This window comes from Homo sapiens, chromosome 17 (assembly GCF_000001405.40).
Source record: "Homo sapiens chromosome 17, GRCh38.p14 Primary Assembly".
Lineage (NCBI taxonomy): Eukaryota > Metazoa > Chordata > Mammalia > Primates > Hominidae > Homo > Homo sapiens.
In genome coordinates this window covers 1,618,057-1,646,016 of record NC_000017.11, presented here as the reverse complement: position 1 = coordinate 1,646,016, position 27,960 = coordinate 1,618,057, and the positions used below count along the sequence as shown (strand labels likewise).

General features: G+C 56.8%; 2 protein-coding genes across 11 annotated transcripts in view, besides 2 other annotated features; both read left to right on the top strand.

Moving 5' to 3' along the window:
• Positions 285-12,159, top strand: SCARF1 (scavenger receptor class F member 1). 4 transcript variants are annotated; one of them, NR_028075.3, is made up of 11 exons: positions 285-420; positions 778-839; positions 1,082-1,183; positions 2,050-2,575; positions 5,351-5,569; positions 6,047-6,105; positions 6,275-6,378; positions 7,091-7,211; positions 8,955-9,076; positions 9,162-9,308; positions 10,400-12,159. NR_028075.3 is itself a non-coding variant. In NM_145350.3 (11 exons), the coding sequence occupies exons 1-11, from the start codon at positions 320-322 to the stop codon at positions 10,511-10,513; spliced, it is 1,710 nt and encodes a 569-aa protein (NP_663325.1). In that variant the 5' UTR covers positions 285-319; the 3' UTR covers positions 10,514-12,159. The 4 variants fall into 4 exon arrangements, 2 of the variants coding, with proteins under 2 accessions (NP_663325.1, NP_003684.2); NR_102409.2 differs by having other exon boundaries at positions 285-457; positions 5,977-6,105; NM_145350.3 differs by having other exon boundaries at positions 5,977-6,105; positions 9,199-9,308.
• A 3,769-nt stretch (positions 12,160-15,928) lies between these two features.
• The window catches only part of SLC43A2 (solute carrier family 43 member 2), a 60,835-nt gene continuing 48,803 nt past the window's right edge, over positions 15,929-27,960 (top strand). For 4 of the 7 annotated variants that reach the window (XM_047435331.1, NM_152346.3, NM_001321364.2 and 1 more), the window contains exons 1-2: positions 17,183-17,223; positions 18,097-18,302. Coding sequence is in view for 6 of the 7 variants with exons in the window: in NM_152346.3 (NP_689559.1) it covers positions 18,143-18,302 (160 nt within the window). In the remaining variant the exon portion in view is untranslated. Of the gene's footprint in view, positions 16,413-17,182; positions 17,224-17,600; positions 17,937-18,096; positions 18,303-27,960 lie in introns of those variants that run through there. The other 3 variants (XM_017024179.3, NM_001321365.2, NM_001284498.2) reach the window with 3 other exon arrangements.
• Positions 17,935-18,472: an enhancer, noted in NCBI's record as "H3K27ac-H3K4me1 hESC enhancer chr17:1530839-1531376 (GRCh37/hg19 assembly coordinates)". NCBI's record gives its function as "activates a minimal SCP1, AML or CMV promoter by ChIP-STARR-seq in primed H9 embryonic stem cells {active_cell/tissue: H9 hESC(primed)}" and the evidence as "EXISTENCE:reporter gene assay evidence [ECO:0000049][PMID:30033119]".
• Positions 18,473-19,010: an enhancer, noted in NCBI's record as "H3K27ac-H3K4me1 hESC enhancer chr17:1530301-1530838 (GRCh37/hg19 assembly coordinates)". NCBI's record gives its function as "activates a minimal SCP1, AML or CMV promoter by ChIP-STARR-seq in naive H9 embryonic stem cells {active_cell/tissue: H9 hESC(naive)}" and the evidence as "EXISTENCE:reporter gene assay evidence [ECO:0000049][PMID:30033119]".

Genomic DNA, 27,960 nt, shown 5'->3' with positions numbered 1-27,960 from the left:
TTGGGAGTGTGGCCTGATGGAAAGCCGTGGCTCCCAGCCTCAGTCCACCCCCTTCCCTGGCCCCGGCACCCAGGGACCTGCAACTTCATTCTTCTGGCCCTTCCAGGCCCAGGCCAGTCAGCCCTGCCATTGCCTTTCTTTCCCTTTCTTTTTTTGAGTGTCAGTCTTTCCAGCCACCCCCTCCCTCTCAGGGAGGTGCCTCGTGGCAGCCCGCCCCTCCGGCCTGGTTTCCTCAGGAAAAGCCCTGAGAGGAAGCAGGGAGGGGGTTGGGAGCTGTGGGGGCCAGACGAACCCGAGCGCTCCCACCGAGCTGCCTGCCATGGGGCTGGGGCTGCTGCTCCCGCTGCTGCTGCTCTGGACTCGGGGGACTCAGGGGTCCGAGCTGGACCCCAAAGGGCAGCACGTCTGTGTGGCCAGCAGGTGGGTCTCGTGGGAGTCTGATGCGTGTGGCCAGCAGGTGGGTCTCGTGGGAGTCTGATGCGGGTGGCTGAACCGGTGTTGAGGCCGTTAGGGGAAGGAGGAGACTAGGAAGGGGGCTTAGGCTGAAAGGAAGGGACTGCTGATGGCGGTCTGGCAGGTAGTGGCCAGCCAGGGCAGATGGTGGAAGGGTCAGGGAAGGAGAGGGGAGGGGCTGGGGACCCTAGCTGTAAAGATCCATTAGGCCTCCCCAGGGGGCTAAGGCAGCCTCCCCCACTGCAGCCAGAGACAGTGATCCACCTTCCTCAGGGCCAGGCTGCACCCCCCACCATGTCCGGCTGACCCCTTTTTGCCCCACAGCCCCTCTGCTGAGCTGCAGTGCTGCGCAGGCTGGAGGCAGAAGGATCAAGAATGCACCATCCGTGAGTAGCCAGGACAGACCCTCAGCCAAGGAGAAGGGAGGCCGTAGCCCAGTGACAACCCTTCCTTCCTACCCCATGGGGCCTGCCCCTCCTGATACCAGGAGTCAGGGTTTCTCCTGTGACGCACCCCCAGGCCTGAAGGGGCACCTCTTGAGGAGGCATGGCCCCTGGAGCCAGTGAGAGGGCAGGGGTGTCCCCTGGTCCTGCTCCCGTCTTTCCAACCTGGGTGGGGTGTCTTTCAGCCATCTGTGAGGGGCCGGACGCCTGCCAGAAAGACGAGGTGTGTGTGAAGCCGGGCCTCTGTCGATGCAAGCCTGGATTCTTTGGGGCCCACTGCAGCTCCCGTGAGTCTCAAGGGCCAGATGAAGTTGCTGGGCAGAGCTGGGTACGGGGGCAGTGGTGTGGGAGCAGGCGAGGCAGGTAGCCATGCAGCCTCAGGACAGCAGGGCCAGAATCCCCCCCAGCTTCACTGAGGAATTGCGGTCCAGAGACAGGAAGTGACACACACTCCCGGGAGATGACCTGAGTCACCGGGTTTTTACCCACATCCACAAAGCACTGCCCACCTGAGCATCTTCCTCTTCCACTTCTCAGAAAACCTGTGATTCCCCTTCATTGTAAAATGAGTGTATTACTTGCCTTTCCCACATATACCTTATACATGGGCAGTGGATGGAAGGGGGCCCCTGGCTGGGCTCTCTGCCCTCTCTGGCAGAAAGAGAGGGAAGGGAAAGGGGTTGGGAAGCAGGAGAGCCAGAGGGTGGGCATCAGGAATCAAGGAATCACTAGGGGAAAGGTGGCTTCTCCCGACACCCTGGCGGGCAGTATCCAGGCCTGAGATCAGGAGAAAGCCAGCTCTCCTCCAGCCCAGCAGAGATCCATCTCGGCAGGGAGGAGCAGGCATGGAGGAAGGCCCACCAACCTCGGTGCCACGCTCTGGGCAAGTCCCCTGCCCACTCAGGATCTCTGAGTGTGTTCTGGAATGTGAAGTGGCAGGCTGAGCCTCCCACTAATGGCTAAGGGTTTTCTGTAGGTCAGAGCGGAGCAGGAAGTGAGTGTTGCCCAGGACAGGCTGCCGGATGTTCTGAGGGTCTGTCCCCGGCTCTTGGAGGATGGGCCCAGCGCCCCTTTTCCTTGAGGAAGGGGACGCAGGGTAAGGGTCTGCGCGCGGCCCTGAGCCCGCTGACCCCTCCCGTCCCCACCCCCGCAGGCTGCCCGGGCCAGTACTGGGGCCCCGACTGCCGTGAGAGCTGCCCCTGCCACCCGCACGGCCAGTGCGAGCCAGCCACGGGCGCGTGCCAGTGCCAGGCCGACCGCTGGGGAGCCCGCTGCGAGTTCCCGTGCGCCTGCGGCCCCCACGGGCGCTGCGACCCCGCGACCGGCGTGTGCCACTGCGAACCCGGCTGGTGGTCGTCCACGTGCCGCCGCCCGTGCCAGTGCAACACCGCGGCGGCGCGCTGCGAGCAGGCCACGGGCGCCTGCGTGTGCAAGCCGGGCTGGTGGGGGCGCCGCTGCAGCTTCCGCTGCAACTGCCACGGCTCCCCGTGCGAGCAGGACTCCGGCCGCTGCGCCTGCCGGCCGGGCTGGTGGGGTCCCGAATGCCAGCAGCAGTGCGAGTGTGTGCGGGGCCGCTGCAGCGCCGCCTCCGGCGAGTGCACCTGCCCGCCCGGCTTCCGCGGAGCGCGCTGCGAGCTGCCCTGCCCGGCAGGCAGCCACGGGGTGCAGTGCGCACACAGGTGAGCGGGCGGGGCGGGGACAGGTGGGCTGGCGGGGCGGGGGCGGACACAAGTGAGCAGGCGGGGCGGGGCGGAGACAGGGGGGCGGGGCGGAGACAGGGGGCGGGGCGAAGACAGGTGGGCGGGGCGGACACCGGTGGGCGGGGCGGACACCGGTGGGCGGGGCGGGCACCGGTGGGCGGGGCGGACACCGGTGGGCGGGGAGGGGGCGGGGTGGAAACTGGTGAGCGGGCAGGGTGGGGGCGGGGCGGGCACAGGTGAGCGGTCGGGGGAGGGGGCGGAGGCGGACACAGGTGAGCGAGGCTGCGCGGAGACCTGTGAGCGGGCGGGGCGGAGCGGAGACAGGTGGCCGCGGCGGGGCGCCGGGAGGAGGGGTCAGGGCTTCGCGGTGCTCCTCTCAAAAAACATACAAAGCAGAGGAACGAGAAAGGGGAAAAGTCGGATAGGTGGGGTGGCTCACACCTGTAATCCCAGCACTTTGGGAGGCTGAGGCGGGTGCATCACCTGAGGTCAGGAGTTCGAGACCATCCTGGCCAACATGCTGAAACCTCGTCTCTACTAAAAACACAAAAATTAGCCGGGCTGCGCCTGTAGTCCCAGGTATTCGGTAGGCTGAGACAGGAGAATCGCTTGAGCCCTGGAGGCGGAGGTTGCAGTGAGCCGAGGTCGCACCACTGCACTCCAGCCTGGGCCAGAGAGCAAGACTCCGTCTCAAACAAAACAAAACAAAAACTTTTAAAAACGCTTTGTTGCCCCAGGTCCAGCCTCACCTGCTCATTTCATTGATTACTGCTGTGCAAAATATACTAGCACTGCTAGCAAGCCATATGTAGGTAATAAGTGGATCGAGTCCAACAATGATAGACTGGGTTAAGAAAATGTGGCACATATACACCATGGAATACTATGCAGCCATAAAAAATGATGAGTTCATGTCCTTTGTAGGGACATGGAAGAAATTGGAAATCATCATTCTCAGTAAACTATCGCGAGAACAAAAAACCAAACACCGCATATTCTCACTCATAGGTGGGAGTTGAACAATGGAATCACATGGACACAGGAAGGGGAATATCACACTCTGGGGACTGTTGTGGGGTGGGGGGAGGGGGGAGGGATAGCATTGGCAGATATACTTAATGCTAGATGACGAGCTAGTGGGTGCAGCACACCAACATGGCACATGTATACGTATGTAACTAACCTGCACAATGTGCACATGTACCCTAAAACTTAAAGTATAATAATAAAAAAATATATATAAATATATTTAAAAAAAGAAAATTAAAAAAATGGTTTCTTACAAAAAAAATAATAAATAAGTGGATCGAGTGACCAAGGGTCCTGAGCAAGGTCCCTTTAGGGCTCAGTGGCTTTCAAACTTTGACTGGCTGCACTCACAGTAAGAAATTTCATCCCTGGCTGGGCGCGGTGGCTCACGCCTGTAATCCCAGCACTTTGAGAGGCCGAGGCGGGCGGATCACCTGAGGTCAGGAGTTCGAGACCAGCCTGGCTAACATGGTGAAACCTCGTCTCTACTAAAAATACAAAAATTAGCCGGGCATGGTGTTGGGCGCCTGTAATCCCAGCTACTTGGGAGGCTGAGGCAGGAGAATCACTTGAACCCGGGAGGCGGAGGTTGCAGTGAGCCAAGATCGCGCCACTGCACGCCAGCCTGGGCGACAGAGTGAGACTCAGTCTTGAAGAAAATAATAATAAAATAAAATAAGAAATAAAAATGCTGGTCAGGATCAGCTAAATGGCTTTTATAAACTGCCCTTCTTCTCCCCTACTAATGGGTCTGACCCAAGTATATGATCCCAGCTAGTTAAGCATCTGAGGGAGAAACTTCAGGTAACTATTAGGCATCAATGGGAAATTAAGATATGGCAAATGTGAAATTATATTGGTGACAACAGTGGTCTCCAACCTTTTGGCACCAGGGACTGGTTTCATGGCAGACAATTTTTCTATTATTACACTGTAATCTATAATGAAATAATAATATGACTCACCATAATATAGAATCAGTGGGAGCCCTGAGCTTGCTTTCCCGCAGCTCGAGGGTCCCATCTGGGGGTGATGGGAGACAGTGACAGATCATCAGGCATTAGATCCTCGTAAAGAGCATGGAACCTGGACCCTCCCGTGCGCAGTTCACAATAGGACTGGCGCTCCTATGAGAATCTGAGGCCACCACTGATCTGGCTGGCAGCGGAGCTCAGGCGGTCAGGCTCCCCTGCTGGTCATCTCTACGCTGTCGCCCAGTTCCTAACATGCCACGGACTAGTACCAGTCCATGGCCCAGGGTTTGAGGACCCCTGGGTGAAAACACTTTACATTTTTTGCATTTCGTGTGATGGGGTAGAAGACACTACTGAGTCCCATTCATGCCAGACCTGGGGACGGCTCAGTGTGGAAAAAGGAAAAGTGAAAAGAGCAGGAGGGAAGGCCTGGCAGACCTCGCAAATGGGACTCAGAGCTTGGTGGTGACTCGCCTGCCCTGGCTGGGCTGCTGGCTCCTGATGGTCCTGGGACCCAGGGAAAGACGGTCACAGAGCAGATGCCTGGAAGGAAAGGGATGGGATCCTGTAAGAGCCCTCATTTGTCCTCATTGTACAACGTGGGGAAACTGAGGCTCAAACCTGCCTGACCCAGGTGGGACCCGAACACTCTCCAGGGCCCCCGAAGGCCTGCGTGGAGTACAGGGGTAGGAGGGGGTGGGCGCTCCATCCATCCACCCCCACTGTTCCCACGAAGCCCTTCTCTTCCCAGCTGTGGCCGCTGCAAACACAATGAGCCGTGCTCTCCAGACACAGGCAGCTGTGAGTCCTGCGAGCCGGGCTGGAACGGGACCCAGTGCCAGCAGCCCTGCCTGCCTGGCACCTTTGGCGAGAGCTGCGAACAGCAGTGCCCTCACTGCCGACATGGGGAGGCCTGTGAGCCAGATACTGGCCACTGTCAGCGCTGTGACCCTGGCTGGCTGGGGCCCAGGTGAGGGCACCATTCTGTTCAGGGTGGGGTACACCTTCCCCCAGGACCCTCAGCTCAGCGGCTCTCTCCGAGAGCACCACCCTCCCCGACACACAGGTTCATGCGGCCCCAGGGGCCTCCCTCCTGTTGAAGACTGGGGGAGAGCAGTGGGTTCTGGGGGGGCCTGGGCAGGATCCCAGCTCCCTCCCCTCTGAGGCTTCCTGCCCTCCTCGCCCTCTGGGGACTTGTAGTCTGTCACCTGCTGGATTTGGCCCCAAGTTCAAGGCCCTATTTGCACCTGAGCTTCACTGCTGAGGAGTGGCCAGTTGGGTCCTTGAGTCCAGGAGCGTGGGGCGGAGGGGTGGGGCCCCACAGTGGGGGCCAGGCCTGCCTTGGTCTCCCCTTCCCCGAGTCTTGCCTCACCCCAGGTGTGAAGACCCCTGCCCCACTGGTACCTTTGGGGAAGACTGTGGCTCTACCTGCCCCACCTGTGTTCAGGGGTCCTGTGATACTGTGACAGGGGACTGTGTCTGCAGTGCCGGCTACTGGGGGCCCAGGTAAGGATGGGGATCCCGGGGGCGGGAGAGTGCCAGGGGCCTAGGTCAGGGCTCTGTGCAGCATTTCCTGAACTTCCCTGGACAGTGCCCAGAAATCTCCCTGCCCGTCTCCTGCCTGCCTCCCCCACTTCACCCAGCCCTCAGCCTGCCTCTCCATGTCACTCCATAGCTGCAACGCCTCCTGCCCAGCCGGTTTCCATGGAAACAACTGCTCAGTTCCTTGTGAATGCCCAGAGGGACTCTGCCACCCTGTCTCTGGGTCCTGCCAGCCAGGTAAGGTGGAAGAAGGCTGCGGGGTGCAGTAGCCAGGGAAAGGCGGGCCCTTCACATGGGCTCCAGGGCAAGTTCCTCACCAGGGAGTCTGGGCCCACTTCAGAGATATTCTTTTTTTTTTTTTTTTTTCCCTTAAGACGAGGTCTTGCTCTGTCACCCAGGCCAGAGTGCAGTGGTGTGATGTCAGCTCACTGCAACCTCCACCTCCCAGGTTCAAGCCATTCTCCCATCTCAGCCTCTCGAGTAGCTGGGATTACAGGCGCACGCCTCCATGCCTGGCTAATTTTTATATTTTAGTAGAGACAGGGTTTCACCATGTTGGCCAGGCTGGTCTCAAGCTCCTGACCTCAGGTGATCTGCCCACCTCGGCCTCCCAAAGTGCTGGGATTACAGACGTGAGCCACTGTGCCCGGCCCAGAGACATTCTTTATACCTGAGCTCTGTGTGGATGCTCTGGGGCCCCCTGAAGATGTGACAGAGCCCCCGCCCCTGCGAAACCAGGCTAGAGCCGTGAAATGGGCAGCGGGGTGGCTGGACACTGACATGGCCTCAGGGGCAAGAACCTGTGGAGGGGACACGCCAGCAGAGGGGCTGCCCGGAGGCAGGGAGTGACCCCCAGGAAGAAGCTTCTGGGTAGCAGGCAACTCAGAGCAAAGACAGGATGTGTAGGAGACAGGAAGGCCTGAATATCCCCCGTTTCTGGCTCCCCCAGGCTCTGGCAGTCGGGACACTGCCCTCATCGCGGGCAGCCTTGTGCCTCTGCTGCTGCTCTTCCTGGGCCTTGCCTGCTGTGCCTGCTGCTGCTGGGCCCCCCGATCAGACCTCAAGGACAGGTGAACGCCAGCCCGTCCCTTCCCCACACAGCTCAGGCCACAGGGTGGGAGCAGGGGGGCATCTGGTTTCCTTGTGGGGTGGGGAGGGCTGGCCTTGTTGCCCACGTGGGTCAGAGGTGATGGGGGTGGGGAGGGCTGGCCTTGTCGCCCCCGTGGGTCAGAGGTGATGGGGGTGGGGAGGGCTGGCCTTGTCGCCCACGTAGGTCAGAGGTGATGGAGGTAGTTGGCAGTGCCCGTGGCCTGGAGACACTGGAGACACCGGGTCAGCTGCCTGCCCTCCTCGGAAGCCTTCAATGAGGAAGTTTCTGAGTTGCATGGGCACCAGGCTGGCGAACCGGAGCCTGCAGCGGGAGGCAGAAAGCTGACACCGGCGGGGACCAGAGGAGGAGGGCTGGGACCACGGAAGGAGCAGCCCGGCTCTGGGCCAGGAGGGAAAGAGACCAGGCCTCAGATGGCCCACGAAGGAAAGAGACATCAATGTCTGTGCAGTGGTTTAGCAGAGAGTGTAGCTGCCTGAGAGACGGAGAGGGGAGGAAGGGTTGGGCTGGTGGGGCCCGCGCAGGGGGCTTACGCAGAGCTTTGTTCCTTTATGAAACCTCGTCACATTCCAGGCTCCTTTGAGACTCACAGCAGCGTGGAGGTTTGGAACAGGGAGTGTGGGGCCGGGAGGATAAATGTCCTCAATTCCCAGAGGACATTGAGGCCCAAGGTGATCTAGTTGGTACTGGCACACAGGAAGCCCCTCTCCACCTTTTTGGACTCTTTGTCTGGTGCTCTCTTACTAGTTCCTGCCCTAGTCCAATAGCACATCCTCCTCTGTGCTTGTGCGGCATTCACAGAGGAGCAGATACAGTTGCCCCTGGCCCAGGGCATAGAGCCCAGGGTGGGAAGAAGCCCCTCGCAGGGACACGAGGACAGGTGCAAAGGCTGTTGGAGGAACAGTGAAGAGCAGAGCAGTCTCCTCCACATGTGGGGGTAGAGCAGAGTGGGAACAAGGGAAGGCTTCCTGGAGGGGGTGTCATTTGAGACAGGTGCGCCGGGCGCAGTGACTCACGCCTGTAATCCCAGCACTTTGGGAGGCCAAGGTGAGTGGATCACCTGAGGTCAGGAGTTCAAGACCAGCCTGGCCAACATGGTGAAACCCCGTCTCTACTAAAAATACAAAATTAGCCGGGTGTGGTGGTGCACGCCTGTAATCCCAGCTACTCAGGAGGCTGAGGCAGGAGAATCACTTGAATCCAGGAGGCGAAGGTTGCGGTGAGCCAAGATCGTACCACTGCACTCCAGCCTGGGCAACAAAAGCGAGACTCTGTCCCAAAAATAGAGAGAGAGAGAGAGAGAGAAACGTGAGCTGAGGCTCAGCTAGGATGATAATAACAAAGACCTGCCAGGTCCTGCAAAAAGCTCAGATAGATGATAGATAGATGGATAGATATAGATAGATAGATAGATAGATAGATAGATAGATAGATAGATAGGATCTGTTTTACAGATGCGGAAACTGAGGCCTAGGGAGGTGAAGTGTGAACCAGAGTTGTTACTCGGCTGTCTGACTCTAGAGCCACTCTTTGTTCTGTGGCAGGCCTGAATTGTGGGCTCAATCATTTGGATTTTATTCTGTAGTCAATAGAGAGCCACTGAAGCCACTGAAGTAGAGGCAGTCACCCTGTCACACCCTGCCAAGGTGACCCAGGTCACCGTGGGTCTCATGTACTGACCAGTGTCCCTACCCTCCTCCCTCAGGCCAGCGAGAGATGGAGCTACCGTGTCCAGGATGAAGCTGCAGGTCTGGGGGACACTGACCAGCTTGGGCTCCACGCTGCCCTGCCGTTCCCTCAGCTCCCACAAGCTACCCTGGGTGACAGGTCAGTGGGCGCTGGGGGCCGGGGTCTGGGATTGGACAGGGCTTTGCATCAGGTCCTGCAGGCGCCTGATCTGGAGTCTCTACAGTCTCACATCACGACCCGGAGGTCCCCTTCAACCACAGCTTCATCGAGCCGCCCTCTGCCGGCTGGGCCACTGATGACTCCTTCTCATCCGATCCTGAGTCTGGAGAGGCAGATGAGGTTCCTGCCTACTGTGTGCCACCCCAAGAAGGTAGCCCCCCAACAGCCCACATAGCCCCTGAGCAGCCCTGCCCACCACGACCCCCTCTTTAGTCCTCCAGCAAAGTTATTTATTTTTATTTTTTTTTGAGACTGGGTCTTGCTCTGTCGCCAGGCTGGAGTGCAGTGGTGCGATCTCAGCTCACTGCAACCTCTGCCTCCCGGGTTCAAGTGATTCCCCTGCCTCAGCCTCCCAAATAGCTGGGATTACAGGCGTGCACCACCACACACGGCTAATTTTTATATTTTAGTAGAGACCGGGTTTCACCGTGTTAGCCAGGATCGTGATCCACCCGCCTCAGCCTCCCAGAGTGCTGGGATTACAGGCATGAGCCACTGCGCCTGGCCAGCAAACAGTTATTAAGGGCCCATTTTGTGTTAGTCACTGTTCTTGGCTCCGGGCATGCAAGAGATAACAAGACAGATTCCTATCCTCACCAGGCTTAGAGTCAGATGGGCAGTCATCAGACAATGACAGGACACAGTGATATGTGTTTCCATGGGGGACATACAAGTAGGGACTCATTTGCTAGCCATGTTGGGGTGACTGGGGTCAGGGACGATGTGTGTGGCATCCCAGTCGAGTCTAGCAGAATCAGTAGGAGTTGGCCAAGTGAAAGTCAGGGAGAGGAGGGAATGGTGTTTCAGGAAGATGGAACAGCATACACAAAGGCCCAGAGGTGAGAGGGATGTGGCTGTGTGCCATCGAAAGAGTTTTAGCTTGGTAAGAGTGTGACAGTATTTCAAAGTAGGGAGAGGTGGTGAGAAAAGAGTATAGAGACCAGGTGTGGTGACTCACACCTGTGATCCCAGCACTTTGGGAGGCTGAGGCGGGAGGACTGCTTGAGGCCAGGGGTTTGATACCAGCCTGGCCAACATAGTGAGACCCCATCTCTACAATTAAAAAAAAAAAAAGTGTAGAAGTAACAGTGTCTACCTGAATTGGTCCTTCTGCCACTCTCCTCATCCTTGCCCTCTTCCTTGCCCTATTTTTGAGGCCTCCTGGAAGATGCTGAGCTGTGGGTAGGATGCATTGGGGTGGCCAGTTCAGCTCCAGCCAAGCTCTTCTGTCTCCTCTGCCAGGGATGGTCCCTGTGGCCCAGGCAGGGTCGTCAGAGGCCAGCCTGGCTGCAGGTGCTTTCCCGCCCCCTGAGGACGCCTCCACGCCATTCGCCATCCCGCGCACCTCCAGCCTAGCTCGGGCCAAGCGGCCATCGGTCTCCTTCGCGGAAGGTACCAAGTTTGCACCACAGAGTCGCCGAAGCTCAGGGGAGCTCTCCAGCCCGCTCCGAAAGCCCAAGAGGCTCTCCCGGGGGGCGCAGTCGGGTCCTGAGGGCCGGGAAGCCGAAGAGTCCACAGGCCCAGAGGAAGCAGAAGCCCCCGAGTCCTTTCCGGCGGCTGCCAGTCCCGGGGATTCAGCCACTGGCCACCGGCGGCCCCCACTTGGTGGCCGGACAGTGGCTGAGCACGTGGAAGCCATTGAGGGCAGCGTCCAGGAGAGCTCGGGCCCTGTGACCACGATCTACATGCTGGCAGGGAAGCCCCGCGGATCCGAAGGCCCTGTCCGCTCTGTCTTCCGCCATTTTGGTAGCTTCCAGAAAGGCCAGGCGGAAGCCAAGGTCAAGAGGGCCATCCCTAAGCCTCCGCGCCAGGCCCTGAATCGGAAAAAGGGCAGCCCTGGCCTTGCCTCTGGCTCTGTCGGCCAGAGCCCCAACTCAGCCCCAAAAGCTGGGCTTCCTGGGGCCACAGGGCCTATGGCAGTCAGACCAGAGGAAGCGGTCCGGGGGCTGGGGGCTGGCACCGAGAGTTCAAGGAGAGCCCAGGAGCCAGTCTCTGGCTGTGGCTCCCCAGAACAGGATCCCCAGAAGCAGGCTGAAGAGGAAAGGCAGGAGGAACCTGAGTATGAGAATGTTGTACCCATCTCCAGGCCACCAGAACCCTGATGACCTTGAATTTGGGGAGTGGGGAGAGTGGATGGACTAGACTGTGCTGTGTGCTGGAAAATGATCCCGGGGCCAGGACAGACAAACCAGAGCCTCTGCGCCTCCACAGGGAAAAGGCAAGGCTTCCAGGCCAGTTGGCCCAGGCCCCTGGCAGTGCTCCCGGAGGGGCCCAGGAAGGCCTGGGCAGAGACCCTGTAGGATGGGGTCAGGAAGGGTTGCCTGCAGGGACTTTTGCTCTGCTGTCCTGGACCCTGTGTGCCTCATAAGGGCTATTCTTTCTTTCACGTGCAAAACATTTTTCTGAAATAGCAAACAACCTACATGTTTGCTGATAAAAGATTGGCTAAACAAATTTTTTTTTTTTTTTTTGAGACAGAATCTCCCTCTGTCCCCCAGGCTGGAGTGCAGTGGTGCGATCTCGGCTCACTGCAAGCTCTGCCTCCCGGGTTCACGCCCTTCTCCTGCCTCAGCCTCCCGAGTAGCTGGGACTACAGGTGCCCTCCACCACGCTTGGCTAATTTTTTTGTATATTTAATAGAGACAGGGTTTCACCATGTTAGCCAGGATGGTCTCGATCTCCTGACCTCGTGATCCACCTGCCTCGGCCTCCCAAAGTGCTGGGATGACAGGCATGAGCCACCACGCCTGGTCTATGAACTTTTTAAAAAGGATGTATGTGTATAAAAACAGATTCAAGGGAAAGGCACTAAATGGTTTTTTCCTCTGGAAGATGAGATTGTAGGTGATATTTATTTTCTTCTGAAACTTTTGTATAGTTTGCAAATTTTCTACAGTGAACATTCTTTTTTACTTTTGTTACTAGATTGAATTTGATAAAGTATAATAAAAAGCAATGATCTTTGTTAAAAAAATAAAAAGTACTAACATTACAGACATGTATAAAGTAAAACGGAGATTTCCTTTCTCCCCAGAGGCGTCTGTGGGTCAAGAGAGAGGTAGAATCTACTTTTCCCTGGCAGCTTTTTGGTCTTGTTTGAATTCTTTGCTCACATATTACCTAGTCAGAAAAGAAAAGGGGCAACCCTCCCCCCGAGCTTTATTTTTTTTTTTTTTAAGATGGAGTCTCAGTCTGTCACCCAGGCCGGAGTGCAGTGGTATGATCTCGGCTCACTGCCACCTCTGTCTCCCCGGTTCAAGCGATTCTCCTGCCTCAGCCTCCTGAGTGGCTGGGATTACAAGCGCCCGCCACCATGCCCGGCTAATTTTTGTATTTTTTGGTGGAGACAGGGTTTCACCATGTTGGCCAGGCTGGTCTTGAACTCCCAAACTCAAGGGCTCCACAGCTTCGGCCTCCCAGAGTGTTGGGATTATAGGCATGAGCCACCGCGCCCGGCCAGGGGCAGCCCCTTCTATCTCAGTGCTCAGAGAGTCTCATCAACAGTTGAGGTGCTTTCTTTCAGATGTTTTTCTGTGTACATGTCAACAAATATTTTAAACAAAAAATTTTAGCATACTAAGCATACTGTTCCTCAGCTTCTTTTTTTTTTTTTTTTTTTCTTTTTGAGACGAAGTTTTGCTCTGTTGCCCAGGCTGGAGTGCAGTGGTGCAATCTCAGCTCACTGCAACCTCTGCCTCCCGGGTTCAAGCGATTCTCCTGCCTCAGCCTGCTGAGTAGCTGCAATTACAGGTGTGTGCCACCACACCCAGCTAATTTTTGTATTAGTAGAGATGGGGTTTCACCATGTTGGCCAGGCTGTTCTCGAACTCCTGACCCGCCTTGGTCTCCCGAAGTGCTGGGATTACAAGCGTGAGCCACCGCGGCCAGCCTCAACTTGCTTTTTTACTTAACGACATATCCTGGATATAGTTCAATGTCCATAAATGTAAAGCTAACTCTCTTTATTTAAAAAATGACTACATGAGATTCCATCTAGCACAATTATTTAAATCATTCCCCCGCCAATGGAAGGTTGGGTTGTTCTGATCTGTTTTGATACAATAAGCAATGACATAGTATACAACTTTGTCCATATTTATTTATTTATTTATTTTTTGAGATGGAGTTTCACTCTTGTTGCCCAGGCTGGAGTGCAATGGCACGATCTCAGCTCACTGCAACCTCGGCCTCCTAGGTTCAAGCGATTCTCCTGCCTCAGCCTCTCGAGTAGCCGGGACTACAGGCGCATGCCACCACGTGCAGCTAATTTTTTTGCATTTTTAGTAGAGATGGAGTTTTGCCATGTTGGCCAGGTTGCTCTCGAACTCCTGACCTCAGAAGATCTTCCCACCTTGGCCTCCTAAAGTGCCGAGATTACAGGTGTGAGCCACTGTGCCCAGCCACTAAAGCTTCTAAAAAGTATATATAATTTTTGTGTGTGTGTTTAGCCATCAACAATTATATCTCATTACAATTTAAAGTTCTATGAGTATTCTAAGGTTGTTTCTTTTCCGTCTTGGCTCACTGCAACCTCCGCCTCCCAGGTTCAAGCCATTCTTGTGCCTCAGCCTCCTGAGTAGCTGGAATTACAGGCGCCCACCACCATGCCCAGCTAATTTTTGTACTTTTTGTAGAGATGGGGTTTTGCCATGTTGGCCAGGCTGGTCTCGAACTCCTGACCTCAGGTGATCCACCCACCTCAGCCTCCCAAAGTGCTGGGATTCCAGGTGTGAGCCACCGCACCTGGCCATTTGCCCCTTTTCAGGAGTTCATGTTTTCATTCCACAAACTCATATTGTGCAACTGCTTTGTGCTTGCTTCTCTATCAAGGGCTGGTCATACAAAGTTGAATAAGACACCGTCCTGCCCCCAAAGAGTTCATAGTCAATTAGAGAGGAAGGCAAACAGACGAATAGCTAATTATAAAACAATGCCAGCAGTGGACAAATAAAGTGAACAGTATTAATGGGGAGTGGTTAGGGAAGGCTTCCCAGCGGAGGTGCCGTCCAAAATGAGGCTATGTCGCGAGCTAGAGGAGAGAGAACAGCAGGTGCAGAAACCACAGGCAATTCCATGTGACTGGAGCATCGGGGACCAGGCAGGTCAGATGTCCTTCAGAGGGAGGGAGAGGGAGGAGCCTGTGTGGGTCAAATTGGGGAACTGGAACTTTTAAATTTTGTTTATTTTTTTGAGACGGAGTCTCGCTTTGTTGCCCAGGCTGGAGTACAGTGGCACAATCTCTGCTCACCGCAACCTCTGCCTCCCCAGCTCAAGCAATTCTCCTGCCTCAGCCTCCCAGGTAGCTGGGATTACAGGCGTGTGCCACATCACCCAGATCTTTTTTTTTTTTTTTCTTTTCAGACAAAGTTTCGCTCTTGTTGCCCAGGCTGGAGTGCAGTGGCACGATCTCGGCTCACTTCAACTTCCGCCTCCCAGGTTCAAGTGATTCTCCTGCCTCAGCCTCCAGAGTAGCCGGGATTACAGGTGTGCGCCACCACACCCAGCTAATTTTTTGTTTCTTTAGTAGAGACAGGGTTTCACCATCTTGGCCAGACTGGTATCGTACTCCTGATCTTGTGATCTGCCCACCTCGGCCTCCCAAAGTGCTGGGATTACAGGCGTGAGCCACCGCGCCCAGCCATTTTTGTATTTTTAGTAGAGACAGGGTTTCACCATGTTGGCCAGGCTGGTCTTTAACTCCTGACCTCAAGTGATCTGCCCGCCTCAGCCTCCCGAAGTGCTGGTATTACAGGTGTGAGCCACCGTGCCCAGCCAGGAACTGGAACTTTATCCTGTTTTACAAATAATAGTTTCTGAAGGATTTTGGCAGAAGTCACATTTACATTTCCCTTAGTGCCCTGGGATGAGATGGGGGCTGGATTTGAGGAACTGAAATCTGAAGGTGGCTCAACAACAGTAGTTGCGGGCCTAAGGGCACAGATGGACCGATTAGGTAAATATGTAGGAGATACAGCTGTATCAGTTTGATGGGGATGCGGTGAGGGAGAGGCAGAATCACAGCGACTGCCTAACAAATGTCTGATGAAAGGATGGTTCTCAGCAGGGCACTGTGAGTCATGCCTGTAATCCCTGCACTTTGGGAGGCTGAGGTGGGAGGATCACTTGAGCCCAAGACTTCAAGACCAGCCTGGGCAACAGGGCAAGACCCTATCTGTACAAAAAATACAAAAATTAGCCAAGTGTGGTAGCATGCACCTGTGGTCCCAGCTACTTGGGAGGCTGAGGCAGGAGGATCACCTAAGCCCAGGAGGTCGAGGCTGCAGTGAGCTATGATCATGCCACCACACTCCAGCAGTCTGGGTGCCTGAGATCCTGTCTCAAAAAAAAAAAAAAAAAAAGAAAAAGAAAAAAGACAGGGTTCTTGGTATCTAACTTCAGTAGACAGTAGTAGTATGGTTATCTGAGAGAAAATGTGGAGGACAGTTCTGGGGGATATTTGAGGCATGTTTGAGCCCTGCAGCGCCGTCAGGCTGCTCAAAGAGGAGGGAAGGGTGAAGAAAGAGATTTTTCAGATGGCAGTTGAAACCTTGGGAGTGGGAAGGGTTCCACAGGGTGAGGAACCGGGTAGGCTACCAGCTGGAGCCGCCCCCCAGCAGGCTGACAGCTCCAAGCGTTGTCTGGGGGAGGTTGCCCTCGCCAGGTGGCCCGGGCGGATTCTAGACAGTAGGGGGCACACTCGGACTGGGGCAGGTGGAGCAAGAGGCGTTTGGGGCTCCCACAGCCCTGGGGTGGTGGTGGGGTTTTATTTTTGGTTTTTATTTTGGTAGAGATGGTTCTCGCCATGCTGCCCAGGCTGGTCTCAAACTCCTGTCCCCAAGTGGCCCTCCGACCTTAGCCTCCCAAACCGCTGGGATTCCAGACGTGGACACCGCGCGGCAGCCCTGGGGTGCTAAGCCAGCCCCCCGGAGCGAGCCAGGGTGACCAAGGCGATTCTGGGGCAGTCAGAGGGTCTTCCCGGGTCGGGTTAGTGCCTCGAATCCGGGGGACGAAGACGGGGAGCTGAGCTTTCGGAGCCCGGGCTTATCAGACGGGGACCCGGAGCCCCCTCGAACCCTCCCTAGCTTGTACCAGCTGGCGGACGTGGCCCGTAGCATCGCCCTGCAGAGGGGACCTTCCCTGAAAGGGACGGGGAACGGGGTGAAGGTGGCCAGCGCGGGCAGGGAGCACCCAGATGACGATCAAGGGTGGAGGGTCCCCGGAGGACCGAGCAGTGCGTGAACACGGGCGGAGAAAGGTCAGTCTGATGGGGGGAGCTCAGGAGACCCCATCCTAGGACGGGACAGACCAGCCCCAAATCCCCTTGCAGATTTCCAAGGGCCAACTTCCAGGGACCGGGCAGACGCCACCGGGGAGAGGGGAAGGGGTCGGTGCATCAGCGGGGGGCGCCACGGCTGGACCGGGTCCGGGATCCCAGGCCCCGAATACGCCGGGACGGGAACCACCGGGGCGGGGGAGCGAGGAACCAGGACCCAAAGCCCGAGGCGGCGGGGACGGCGGCGCTGCGTGGGGAGGAGGCGGGGTGGGGATTCGAGAGTGGAACCACCGTGCGGAGCCGGCGCATCTGGGCGTGGTGACCCGCGCGCAGGGGGCAGCTGGGGACGGCGGGGCGGCCGCGGGAGAGCCCGGCTGGGGGCGCTGGTGGCCCGGCGGCTTCTGGGGGGAGTCCGCTGGGGGCCGGGACGCGGAGCCGGAGCCCCAGCCTCGCAGGGTCAGGCCGCTGGAGAGGCCGCGGGGCGATGTCGCCGGGGATTCCCGGCCGCGCTGTGACTCGGGTTGAAGGCTGCAAAGCCGAGGCCCGGCCCGCAGCGCCCAGGCCCCTCCCGTCCCCCATCTCTCTTGTTTGTCTCCGAGTCCGGCCGGAACCGGCTTCTGCTCGCGGCGGGGCGGGCGGGGGGCTGGCTGCTGATTGGTCGACGCCTGTTTCCAGCCCCGCTCAGCCAATCAGCGGGCGGCAGTGTTTTCTTCTTGGGGTCGGAATAAAAGGGCTGGAATAAAAGAGGGCAGAAAAGGCGCCGGGCGGGCCCGACACACGCCGGAGGAGCCGGGTGAGCTGCAGCAGGGAGGGGATCGCGGCCGGGGCGAGGGCGCGGGGGCAGAAGCGGCCGCCGAAGGGGCGTAGGGAGAAAACGTGGGAACGAGGAGAGAGATGGAGCGATGAGGGGCCGCCAGGGAAGAGATGACGAACAGATGCGGGCTGGGGAATGGAGGCGCGGGGGTCCGAGGCCATGGAAACGGGCGAGTTGCCGGGGGAACGCCCGAGATGGGGGTCGCGCGGCTGGCTCGCGCCACCGGTTTGAACCGGCTCCTCGTCTCCCACGCTGGGTTCGCGTGGCCGCAGCGCCTAGCGACCTAGACGGCGGCCAATGGCGCGGCAGTTCCTGCGCCGTCCGGCCAATGAGCGCGCCGGGGCGGGCCGTTCCGTAGGTCTGGGCGCTGATCTTGTGGTTGAAGAAACCAGCTCTGGGGAAGGGTCTCGGGCGCGGGCGGGAGGGCACCTGTCAGGGTCCCTGGGAGAGGCAGCCCTCGGATCTGCCCCTGCCCACCTCACGCTGCGTTCCATGCTGGCCCCAGGCGATGTCAGTCCTGCTGCAGGCCAGGACTAGTTCCACGGCCCTGAGCATGCGTTAGCCCCTTCTTGCCTCCATGCCTCAGTTTACCTCGGAGTGAGCTGCGGGAGACGTCTCCCTGCCTGGCCGGGGCGGCTCTGTCGTAGCGGAGGGCAGCGGTACGAGCCGGCCGCGGGCTCGGGGTGTCCCAGGTCCGGGCAGGGCTGGGGTTCGCTTCCTCTGCTGCGCGCACCGGCCGCCGCGGCCGGGGAGGGGTGGCAATCCCGAGCCCTGCGGCAGCGGTCGGGGCTGCTGGGGGCGGCCGCAGGGGCTGGGCAAGGGCCGGCCGCTGACGCCGAGTTCTGTGCGCAGGTGGTGCAGAGCCGGAGCCGGAGCCGGAGCCGCGCCGCGCCGCACCATGGCGCCCACCCTGGCCACTGCCCATCGGCGCCGCTGGTGGATGGCCTGCACGGCCGTGCTGGAGAACCTCCTCTTCTCGGCAGTCCTCCTGGGCTGGGGCTCGCTGCTCATCATGCTCAAGTCAGAGGGCTTTTACTCCTACCTGTGTACCGAGCCAGGTGAGACAAGCGCCTGGGGTTGCGGGGGGCTCCTGGAGCTGGGGCTTTGGGAGGGGGCGGGATGGGGGCGAAGACCTAGCGAGCCACAGCACCGCATTGCCCAGTGCCTCTAGGGTATCAGAAGGCCCATCTGATCCTCACCCAGCCCTGCCGGGTACTTGTCATTGCCCCTGTTTTGTGGACGAAGACATCGAGGCTCAGAGCGATCTGTCTTGCGCAAGGCCGCAGAGCCTGGGCCTGCCATCCACCCAGAACCCCACCTGCTGTCCAGGGTGTTCCTTCCACCCGCTACGAACAGTGCTGGACTGCTCTCCTCTCCTCCCAGCCCTGGAACATAGCTTGGCTGGTAGTAAACATGTTGCTGTCTGCTTGTGAGAAAGAGGAACTCCAGATTAAGGGGCTGGGGTGCAGCAGGAGAGGAAGTGGCCTTGCCTCCACCCCAGGGAGGGCTCATCTAGAATCTAGACGTTCCTCAGGCCATTGTGGAGTCTCCTAAGTGCTTGCTGGACACAATTTCTTGTCTATTTTTGCTGCCTTATGATTCTCCAAAGGACATTTCCCCCACGGGCTCTGAGGACATCTCCGTGGCTTTCCAACCCCATGGGGATGAAGGGGAAGAGAAGAAAGGAACGTTTATGGAAATGATGCTAGGGTTGTTCTCTCCTCTTTGCCTTGTCACTGGAATTGCTGAAGGCAGGCTGAGGATGCTTCTCTACATGACATCTGCACCACCCAACACACACTTACCTTCACACCTTCATACCCTGTTGGAGGGTCCTGATGACTACAGGGCAGTAAATTCAGCCCCACAGGAGGGCCACAGCAGCCCCCAGCCTCTAGCCTCCTACCCTCCTTCTTAGGCAACCTTGACAGGAAATTTTCCCTCTGCCTTCTCCTTGATCCCAACGGTAGCTGCATAATAGCTGAGCTCACATAATCCCTGTCGCCAGTGCTAGAGTGCCCTTAGATGGAGGTAGCCCAGGTTTGACTTCCTGAATCCCCAGCAGCAGGCCTTTTCTTTCTAGAGCTCTTTGCAGGAAGAGAAAGCTTTGGACCAGCTCATGCTGGGTGTAATCCTTTGTGGAAGCCTCCCTGTTTCCCTTCTCTGATCTGCCCCGGAGATTCCTGTGTGTCCCAGTCTCTAGGGAGGGAGGCTTAGCTGGAGAGGTTCAGGGCAGGAGAAAGCAGGAGAATGCAGAGGCCGCGGGGAGAGGACAGAAAGTATATCATTTATAACTAACCTTTAGCCTTTAGCCACTCAAAAATATTTCCTAATAGCCTAAGGGTTCTTGGCAGGTCTTTCCCCACATCAGCAAGAAATCTTGGGAGTTGGGAAGAGTCAGACCTTGTTCCCTGAACAAGCTTTCTGCTTTGGCCAAGAGTTGTTAGGAGATTAATGCCTGTCCCCGAAAGGCACAGGTTGGAGTGTTTACTTCTTCCTCTCCTTTCCTCTCTCCCCCCTTAGAGATCGTGACCCTTCCTGCTTGCCTCCCTGGTGGGCTCTTTCAGGCTGGACACAGGGTTTAAAAAAAAAAAAAAAAAGCAGAAAAAAAGTCATCGTCCCCAGAGAAAGCTTTTAGTGTCTCACCCAGACCAGAGAACTGTTGTGGGCAGGTGTTTTTTTGTGTGTTTTTTTTTTAACCCACCATGATGTCGGAAGGTCAGATTCTAGGTGTTTTTTGTTTGTTTTTTGTTTTTTGTTTTTTTTTAATAGAATGTCCACGGATTTAATTGATTGTATGGTTTTGGCAGAATTGGGTCTGGTCCTTTCATTCCTGCCTCAACCTCAGCTTCCTCCTCTGTCTAAGTGGGAGGAGTCCCAGAGATTGTGCCAGCGCAGTGCTGAGTTGGTGTTTTAAGCCCTGGGCAGACTTGACAGGTAACTCCACTAAACCAAAGTGAAGGTGAAGGGTCAGGATTGTGGGTTGAACATCAACTTCTTATCCCGAACTTTTGCTCCTGCCTCCAATTTTGGTTTTTCTTATTATCTGGCAAACATGCTGAGCCCACGTTCTGGGCGGGAAGGCTGCTGATTCCACACAGCTTATCTCTCTGGTCACACTGCTCCTTGATTCTTGGAGTCTGCATCACCAGTTTTCTTTCAGGCCAGAAATCCCCGCATTTGGCTCGTCTGGGAGTGCCTGGCGAAGTTAGGGTGAAGGTTTCTGCTTCAGTCTAACATTTTCAAACTTGGTGCATGGCTGAATTGCAGAGAAGCAGATAGGCCATTTTTGAATTTATTGAATTAGACTTGTGAAAGCCTGAGCAGTGTCCGGCTGATTGAGATGCAAATTTGTCAGCTTCGTGTCACTCTAGGACGATGCTTTAGTTTGTTCTCTAAAGAAAATTTGCCTGAACCTGTTGAAAGGTTCTTAGAACTCTTTCTTACGACTCCAGCCAGAATCTCGCCACAGACACCGTGTTGGGTTCCAGCCTGGTGAGGTGGCAGAAGGAAGGAAACAGCTCATTTCTCGGCTGCCCCGCAGTTTGTTCTTCCTTGCCTGCTGGGAGACGTGGCAGGCTGGGTTTGGGGACCTGGGTGCGGGAAGTTGGCAATGGGTTTTGCACAACGTCCTCCAGGTGTTGGCTGCTGGATGCCTCCCTCGTCCCCCTGGTGAGGGCAGGAGACCAGTTGGGTTCTCAGCCCGAGAAGCACGGGGCTTCCTGGAGCTGTGTCCTCTTGGCCTCTGGGATGGCAACGTGACGGCCCACTCCTGAGCTCTTTCTTCGTTTTCTCTGTTGTCCAGTGGCCCCCGCTTCAACAGGGTCAGGGTCAGCCTGGGGGGCTGCGGCTACCTGTGGATGGTTTTTTTTTATTTGAGACAGGGTCTCGCTCTGTTGCCCAGTCTGGAATGTAGTGTTGCAATCACAGCTCACTGCGGCCTTGACTCCTGGGCTCAAGCAATCCTCCCGCCTCAGCCTCCCGAGTAGCAGTAGCTGGGACTACAAGTGTGCGCCACCATACTCAGCTAATTTTTGTATTTTTTGTAGAGACAGGGTCTCGCCATGTTGCCTAGGCTGGTCTCAAACTCCTGGGCTCAAGCGATCCTCCTGCCTCAGCCTTCCAAAGTGCTGGGCCTGCAAGCATGAGCCATCAAACCCAGTTAGTTTTTTGTTTTTGTTTTTGGGATTACAGGTGCCCACCACCACGCCCGGCTAATTTTTGTATTTTTTAGTAGAGATGTGGTTTTACCATGTTGGCCTGGCTGGTCTCGAACTCCTGACCTCAGGTGATCCACCCGCCTTGGCCTCCCAAAGCACTGGGATTACAGGTGTGAGCCACCACGCCCGGTCAAATTTTTTGTAGAGATGAGGGTTTCATCACGTTGCTCAGGCTGGTCTCAAAACTCCTGGGCTCAAGTGATCCACCAGCCTCAGCCTCCCAAAGTGCTGGGACTACAGGTGTAAGCCACCATACCCAGTTAATTTTTAAATGTTTTGTAGAGATAGGGGTTTCACCATGTTGCCCAGGCTGGTCTTGAACTCCTGGGCTCAGTCGATCCACCCACCTCGGGCTCCCACATTGCTGGGATTATAGGCGTGAGCCACCGCTCCAGGCCTACATGTGGATCGTTAATCCCCTCTTTCTTGTAACCTAAACATTCAGTAAACATTGACGAAGGTGCCGTGCTGGGTGCAGAGGAAACAAGTCATCACACGCATACCTGTGTAACCCGTATAATTCCAGGGGGTGGTCGGGCCCCCAAGAAAGCAGGGCGCCAGGAGCTAGAACAGCAGCGGAGATGTGGCTCCTGCTGGGTGGGAGGGCCTCTCTGCGGTTCAGGTGGAAGCCTGGAGGTTGAGGAGGGGTGATTCAGGAGAGGAGGGTACACCCTGGAGGAGAGGAGGGTACACCCTGGAGGAGAGGAGGGTACAGCCTGGAGGAGAGGAGGGTACACCCTGGAGGAGAGGAGGGTACAGCCTGGAGGAGAGGAGGGTACAGCCTGGAGGAGAGGAGGGTACAGCCTGGAGGAGAGGAGGGTACAGCCTGGAGGAGAGGAGGGTACAGCCTGGAGGAGAGGAGGATACGCCCTGGAGGAGAGGAGGGTACGCCCTGGAGGAGAGGAGGGTACAGCCTGGAGGAGAGGAGGGTACACCCTGGAGGAGAGGAGAGAAGTGGGAAGGGGCGGGGGCTGCAGGGACTGGGAGGCCATTCGGGGAAACTGAATTTTATTCCCAAGACAGGAGGAAGCCAGGGAGATAGAGGAGGGCGACCATCCAATTCCCCTGTTAGAGGCTTGTGTGAATTGCTGAGGGCTTGCCACATGCTGGTATGTTTGGGTGGCATAGAAACCAGAAGTCATCACGGCCTCTGCCTGAGGAAGTCACCCACAGTCTGACCATGGGCATGAAGGCCGACCCCAGTTGTATGCTCTTGACCTCTGCAGTTTCTCCACCTGTGGTGGTGGGAGAGAGCCTCTCACCCTGGCACAGAGGTCCCTGCGAGCTCGCCCTGGCACAGAGATCGCTGCAAGGGCAGAGGGGCTGCCGCCCACCTTGGGGAAGCAGGCCCAGGCTTGATCCCCACGGGCTGAGTGAAGCTGCAGATGTGGACAGGAGATTTCTCTGCTGCCTCGAGGACCTCTTTTCTTGGGGGATGGGGAGGAGGGAACGGAGTTTCACTCTTGTCGCCCAGGCTGGAGTGCAGTGGCGCAGTCTCGGCTCACTGTAACCTCTGCCTCTCGGGTTAAAGCGATTTTCCTGCCTCAGCCTCCCAAGTAGCTGGGATTACAGGCGCCTGCCACCATACCCGGCTAATTTTTTGTATTTGTATTTGTATTTTATTTTATTTTATTTTTTTGAGATGGAGTTTCACTCTGTCGCCCAGGCTGGAGTACAATGGCATGATCTCAGCTCACCGCAAACTCCATCTCCCGGGTTAAAGTGATTCTCCTGCCTCAGCCTCCCAAATAGCTGGGATTACAGGTGCCCACCACCACACCCGGCTAATTTTTGTATTTTTAGTAGAGACAGGGTTTCACCATGTTGGCCAGGCTGGTCTCAAACTCCTGACCTCAGGTGATCTACCAGCCTTGGCCTCCCAAAGTGCTGGGATTACAGGCGTGAGCCACTGCGCCCAGCTCAAGGGCCTCTCTTTTTAGAGTCTCTCCTCACACCCACAGGCAAGTGTGGATAGTTTTTTTTTTTTTGAGACAGAGTCTTGCTCTGTCGCCCAGGCTGGAGTGCAGTGGCGCGATCTCGGCTCACCGCAACCTCCGCCTCCCGGGTTCACGCCATTCTCCTGCCTCAGCCTCCCCAGTAGCTGGGACTGCAGGCGCCCGCCACCACGCCTGGCTAAATTTTTTTGTATTTTTAGTAGAGACGGGGTTTCACCGTGTTAGCCACGATGGTCTTGATCTCCTGACCTCGTGATCCACCCGCCTCGGCCTCCCACAATGCTGGGATTACAGGCGTGAGCCACCGCGCCCAGCCGGATAGCTTTCTTAAATCCAGCCTTTCACTTTTATTGCTATAAATATGACTTTTAAACTTTTCCCCCAGTTTATTTGGAATTTTAAAAATTCCATAGCAATGGGTAAGAAGGTTTAAAGGCTGGGGCCGGCAGCCTCAGGATGCGTCTCAGAGAAGAGCTGGTGGCCTTGGCTCTTCCCACCGCCCCAGCCTCCCTCCTTCTTGGTTCGTGACCTCATTTCCCTCACAGACATCCACTGGCCACCCCTGGCTTCTGGTGTCCATGAAGGTCCTGTCCAGCTTAGGCTGGCTCTCAGGGACCTCGTGGGAGAGTCTTAGTCCCATTCCCACCAAGCGATATTCAGGGCCTCCTGGTGTTGCCGGCACATGGGCAGCCTTTTCCCGGCTCTGTTCTCTCAGCATTTTCTCTCTGGGATATGAGCCTCTAGCCCAGGTAGGCCAGCATCGGCACAGACCGAGTGGTAAGAGCGGGAGCTTTGGGGTCTGACAGCCTGGAGTCAAGCCCAGCTTCCCCAGGGACCCCCATGAGACCTTCTGCAAGTGACTTACCTGCTCTGAGCATCCCTCGGGGACACTCTGACAGTATCCTCGTGGGGAATATGGGGTGGGCGTGGGCACACCCGTTGAGCATGGCAGCTGGCACACACTTTCATTGCACACACGGCAGCCGCTGCTGGGACCACTGCTCAGGGGCCAGGCCCTGGTCAGCCCAGGACGGCCTCTGCCTGTCCGTGCCCTCCTGCCTGTTGTTTGCTCTGTGTCTGAGCCGACCTCTCACCTACATCTCCCCTGCCGGACTGAGGACTGAGATGCTGCTTCCTGTTGCCGGATAGACTAAGGATTTGAGAGACGGGAGATCCTGGGCAGGGGCCATCGGTGGGCTGTCCAGGGGCCCGCACCCTGGAGGGGGGGCTCGGAAAGCGACTAGTCAGGGAAGGGGGCAGCTCAGGAATTTAGAGGGGACCTCAAGCCAGGTACTTCTTGGCCCCCTCAAGCATCATCTTGGAGGCCCCCCTCCCTTTGTCTCCCCGGGGTGTGGGGAGGCTCCTCTTTGCCTCAGGGGAGCCTGGGGGGCCACAGCACCCTCTTTTCTCCCTGATTCCTCTGTAAAGATCTTGTGCGTCTTCTGTGAGTGGGGCTGAACGGTGTACGTCCTCCCTGGCCCTGGGTCTCCTCCTAAGCAGCCCTGTTCCTGTTCTTGGCACTCACTGGCCACACCAACTCTTGCCTGTCTTCTCAGTTCACCTTCTCTGGCCAGGCTGGGCTGGGCCACTTCTGGCCACCCCAGAGGAGGCATCTGTTTAATAAACAGGTGCAGGTGAGGAGCAGAGCAGCCTGGCCGGGGGTGAGCAGAGCAGGCTGGCCCGGGGTCAAGCTCCAGGCTGGGAGCAGAGGGCCACCCCACGCCTTGGCACTTCCTGGGTGCTTAATCTGTTTGTCTCTCTCCTGACCCACGGTGGCCCAGGTGGGACCAGAGGGAGAGGAACAGCCTGGGTGTGTCTGTTTGGGCATCTGCTGGGTGCATGTGGGCTGTTTACTGTCAACAGAGCTTCTGGGCTCACCAAGGGCTTCCTTCCCTCCAGCAGGAGGGAGACTCTCAAATTGCTCCACAAGCAGAAGGAGAAGCCGCTCACCTCCCCGGCCCCAGGCGCCTCTGTTGCTGGACGGGACGGCCTGGAGGCAGGCGGCCGGGCAGAGGGCCTGGTGGCCCCATCGGCAGGGATTTGTTTAAGACGAGAAGGCTGTTGGCCTACGTGCAAGGTCCCTGCCCCTGTGTGTAGTCGCTCCAGGGTAAAAGATGGGAAGGACAGATACCCTTGCCTCTACCCTGACCTTGCCTCTTCCCTATGTGGTTAAAGGGGTGACCAGATCTCTAATCAATTTAAGACTTTTGTTTGTTTGTTTGTGTGTTTGGAGACAGAGTCTCACTCTGTGGCCCAGGCTGGAGTGCAGTGGCACAATCTCGGCTCACTGCAACCTCTGCCTCCTGGGTTCAAGCGATTCTCCTGCCTCAGCCTCCAAAGTAGTTGGGGTTACGGGTACCTGCCACCAAGCCTGGCTAAATTTTTTTGTATTTGTAGTAGAGATGGGGTTTCACCATGTTGGCCAGGCTGGTCTCAAACTCCTGACCTCAAGTGGTCCGCCTGCCTCGGCCTCCCAAAGTGCTGGGATTACAGGCGTGAGCCACCGTGCCTGGCCTAGCCTTGGGATTTTTATCTTCTGGCTCTAGATGAGAAAACCCATGGGTTTAGAGACCCAGCTGTGGTTCCTCCCTGGGGTAACTGGAGGTCCCTGGTGCCTTTACTCAGGCAGTGCTGCCTCACCCACTCCATTCCTTGTCCCCGTGGCTCCTGCTTGCAGCAGTAGAACGTGCAGCCCCCCAAGCCCTCAGTTATTCCACGGCCCCTGTGCAGTCACTGTCCCCACAAGTCACCCATCCTGGGCCCTGGCGTGCTCTCTCCATCCATCCTCTCTGTCACCTCTGTGCTGGTTTGCTCCTATCTGCATGTCAACCTGGAAATGGCTGTTGCTTTGTAGAGACCCTCTTTCCCTGACTTCAGAGCCAATTCCTTTGCTGCTGGCAGAGCTGACATTTGAAACCAACACCAACTCACAAAGCAGCTCCTCCTTTCCAGAAGCTGCCCCACTGTGGATGGGCGAGTGGCCCAGGCCTGTCGGCTGTGGCGGTGTACATGACCGCTCTGAGCTCCACCCTGACGGGCTCGAGGACCCCGTCTGCCATGTGTTTGGCTGACCGTGTGGTAGAGCTTCTTTTTGGAAAACCGAGAGAAAGTGGCCGAGGTGGGAATCTGGTTGGTGACGTTGTATTTCTGTGGCTCCACATGGTTAACCTCGTGGCTCTGATCTCCTTAAATCCCCCCTCGATTCAACGTGGTTCTGTTGATTCCTCTCTCGATCTTTTTGGCCATTGTGATCTGGTGCCATTGTTTTTGTTTTGTTTTGTTCTGTTTTGTTTTTCGAGACGGGGTCTCACTCTGTTGCCCAGGCTGGAGTGCAGTGGTGTGATCTCAGCTTACCACAACCTCCGCCTCCCGGCTTCAAGCAATTCTCCTGTCTCAGCCTCCCGAGTAGCTGTGATTATAGACGCCCACCATGCCCGGCTAATTTTTGTATTTTTAGTAGAGATGGGGTTTCACCATATTGGCCAGGCTGGTCTTGAACTCCTGGCCTTAGGTGATCCACCCACCTTGGCCTCCCGAAGGGCTGGGATTACAGACTGAGCCACTGTACCCGGCCTGATTCTGTTTGTTTGTTTGTTTGTTTTTTGTTTTTTTTGAGACAGAGTCTAACTATTTGCCCAGGCTGGAGTGCAGTGGTGTGTGATCTTGGCTCACTGCAGCCTCCGTTTACCGGGTTCAATGATTCTCTTGCCTCAGCCTCCTGAGTAGCTGGGATTACAGGCATGCGCCACCATGCCTGGCTAATTTTTGAATTTTTAGTAGAGACGGGGCTTCACCATGTTGGCCAGGCTGGTCTTGAACTCCTGACCTCGGGCGATCCACCCGCCTCTGCCTCCCAAAGTGCTGGGATTACAGGCATGAGCCGCCACACCTGGCCCTGTTGTTTTTATTTATTCAGTAAACAGCTATTGTAGGCCAAGACCTGGGTGAGATACTGGGGACACAGAAGTGACCACAGTGCAGGCCCTGCCCTTCGGGGCTCACAGCCCAGTGGGGGATTAGACATGTCTTTGCGCTTCCACACACGCTGACGGGACTGTGCTCCCCACAGCCACTGCATCCGGCTCTGTGCCAGCTGATGGTGCCGTGATTCCCCGCCGGAGCCTCCAATAGCAGCAATGATCATGATAACCACGAGAACAGCAGCAACTTGTAGCTATTCATTATTGAGTGCTTTCTATGCCTGGGTGAGCTCCAGAAGGTTTTCTGAATTTTTCTCATTGATCTTCCCCCACACTCTAGGAGGTGGATCTTATCATTATATGATGTCCATGTTATGGACAAGGAAACTGAGCTAGAGCAAGGTCATGCAGGTAGAAAGTGGAGAATCAAACACTGGAAGCTAGAAACCAGATTCCAGTTCCACGCTCTTCATCCACACGGCCCCGGCGGGGCTCCTTGGCCACACGTTGGCATGAAGCACGAGTCCACCTGTGCGCATCCTTTCCAGTAACCTTGGAGGAACCCCGAGAGGCCTGAGCAAGCTTTTGCAAACCTCGGCGCTACAGCCCTGGCGCCAGAGG

Excerpts from the sequence above, each read along its gene's own strand:
- SCARF1 (NM_003693.4), top strand. The coding sequence starts at position 320 with ATGGGGCTGGGGCTGCTGCTCCCGCTGCTGCTGCTCTGGACTCGGGGG. Across the intron at positions 5,570-5,976 it reads CCTGGCTGGCTGGGGCCCAG|GTGTGAAGACCCCTGCCCCA; the intron begins GTGAGGGCACCA and ends GCCTCACCCCAG. Across the intron at positions 9,309-10,399 it reads CTGTGTGCCACCCCAAGAAG|GGATGGTCCCTGTGGCCCAG; the intron begins GTAGCCCCCCAA and ends CTCCTCTGCCAG.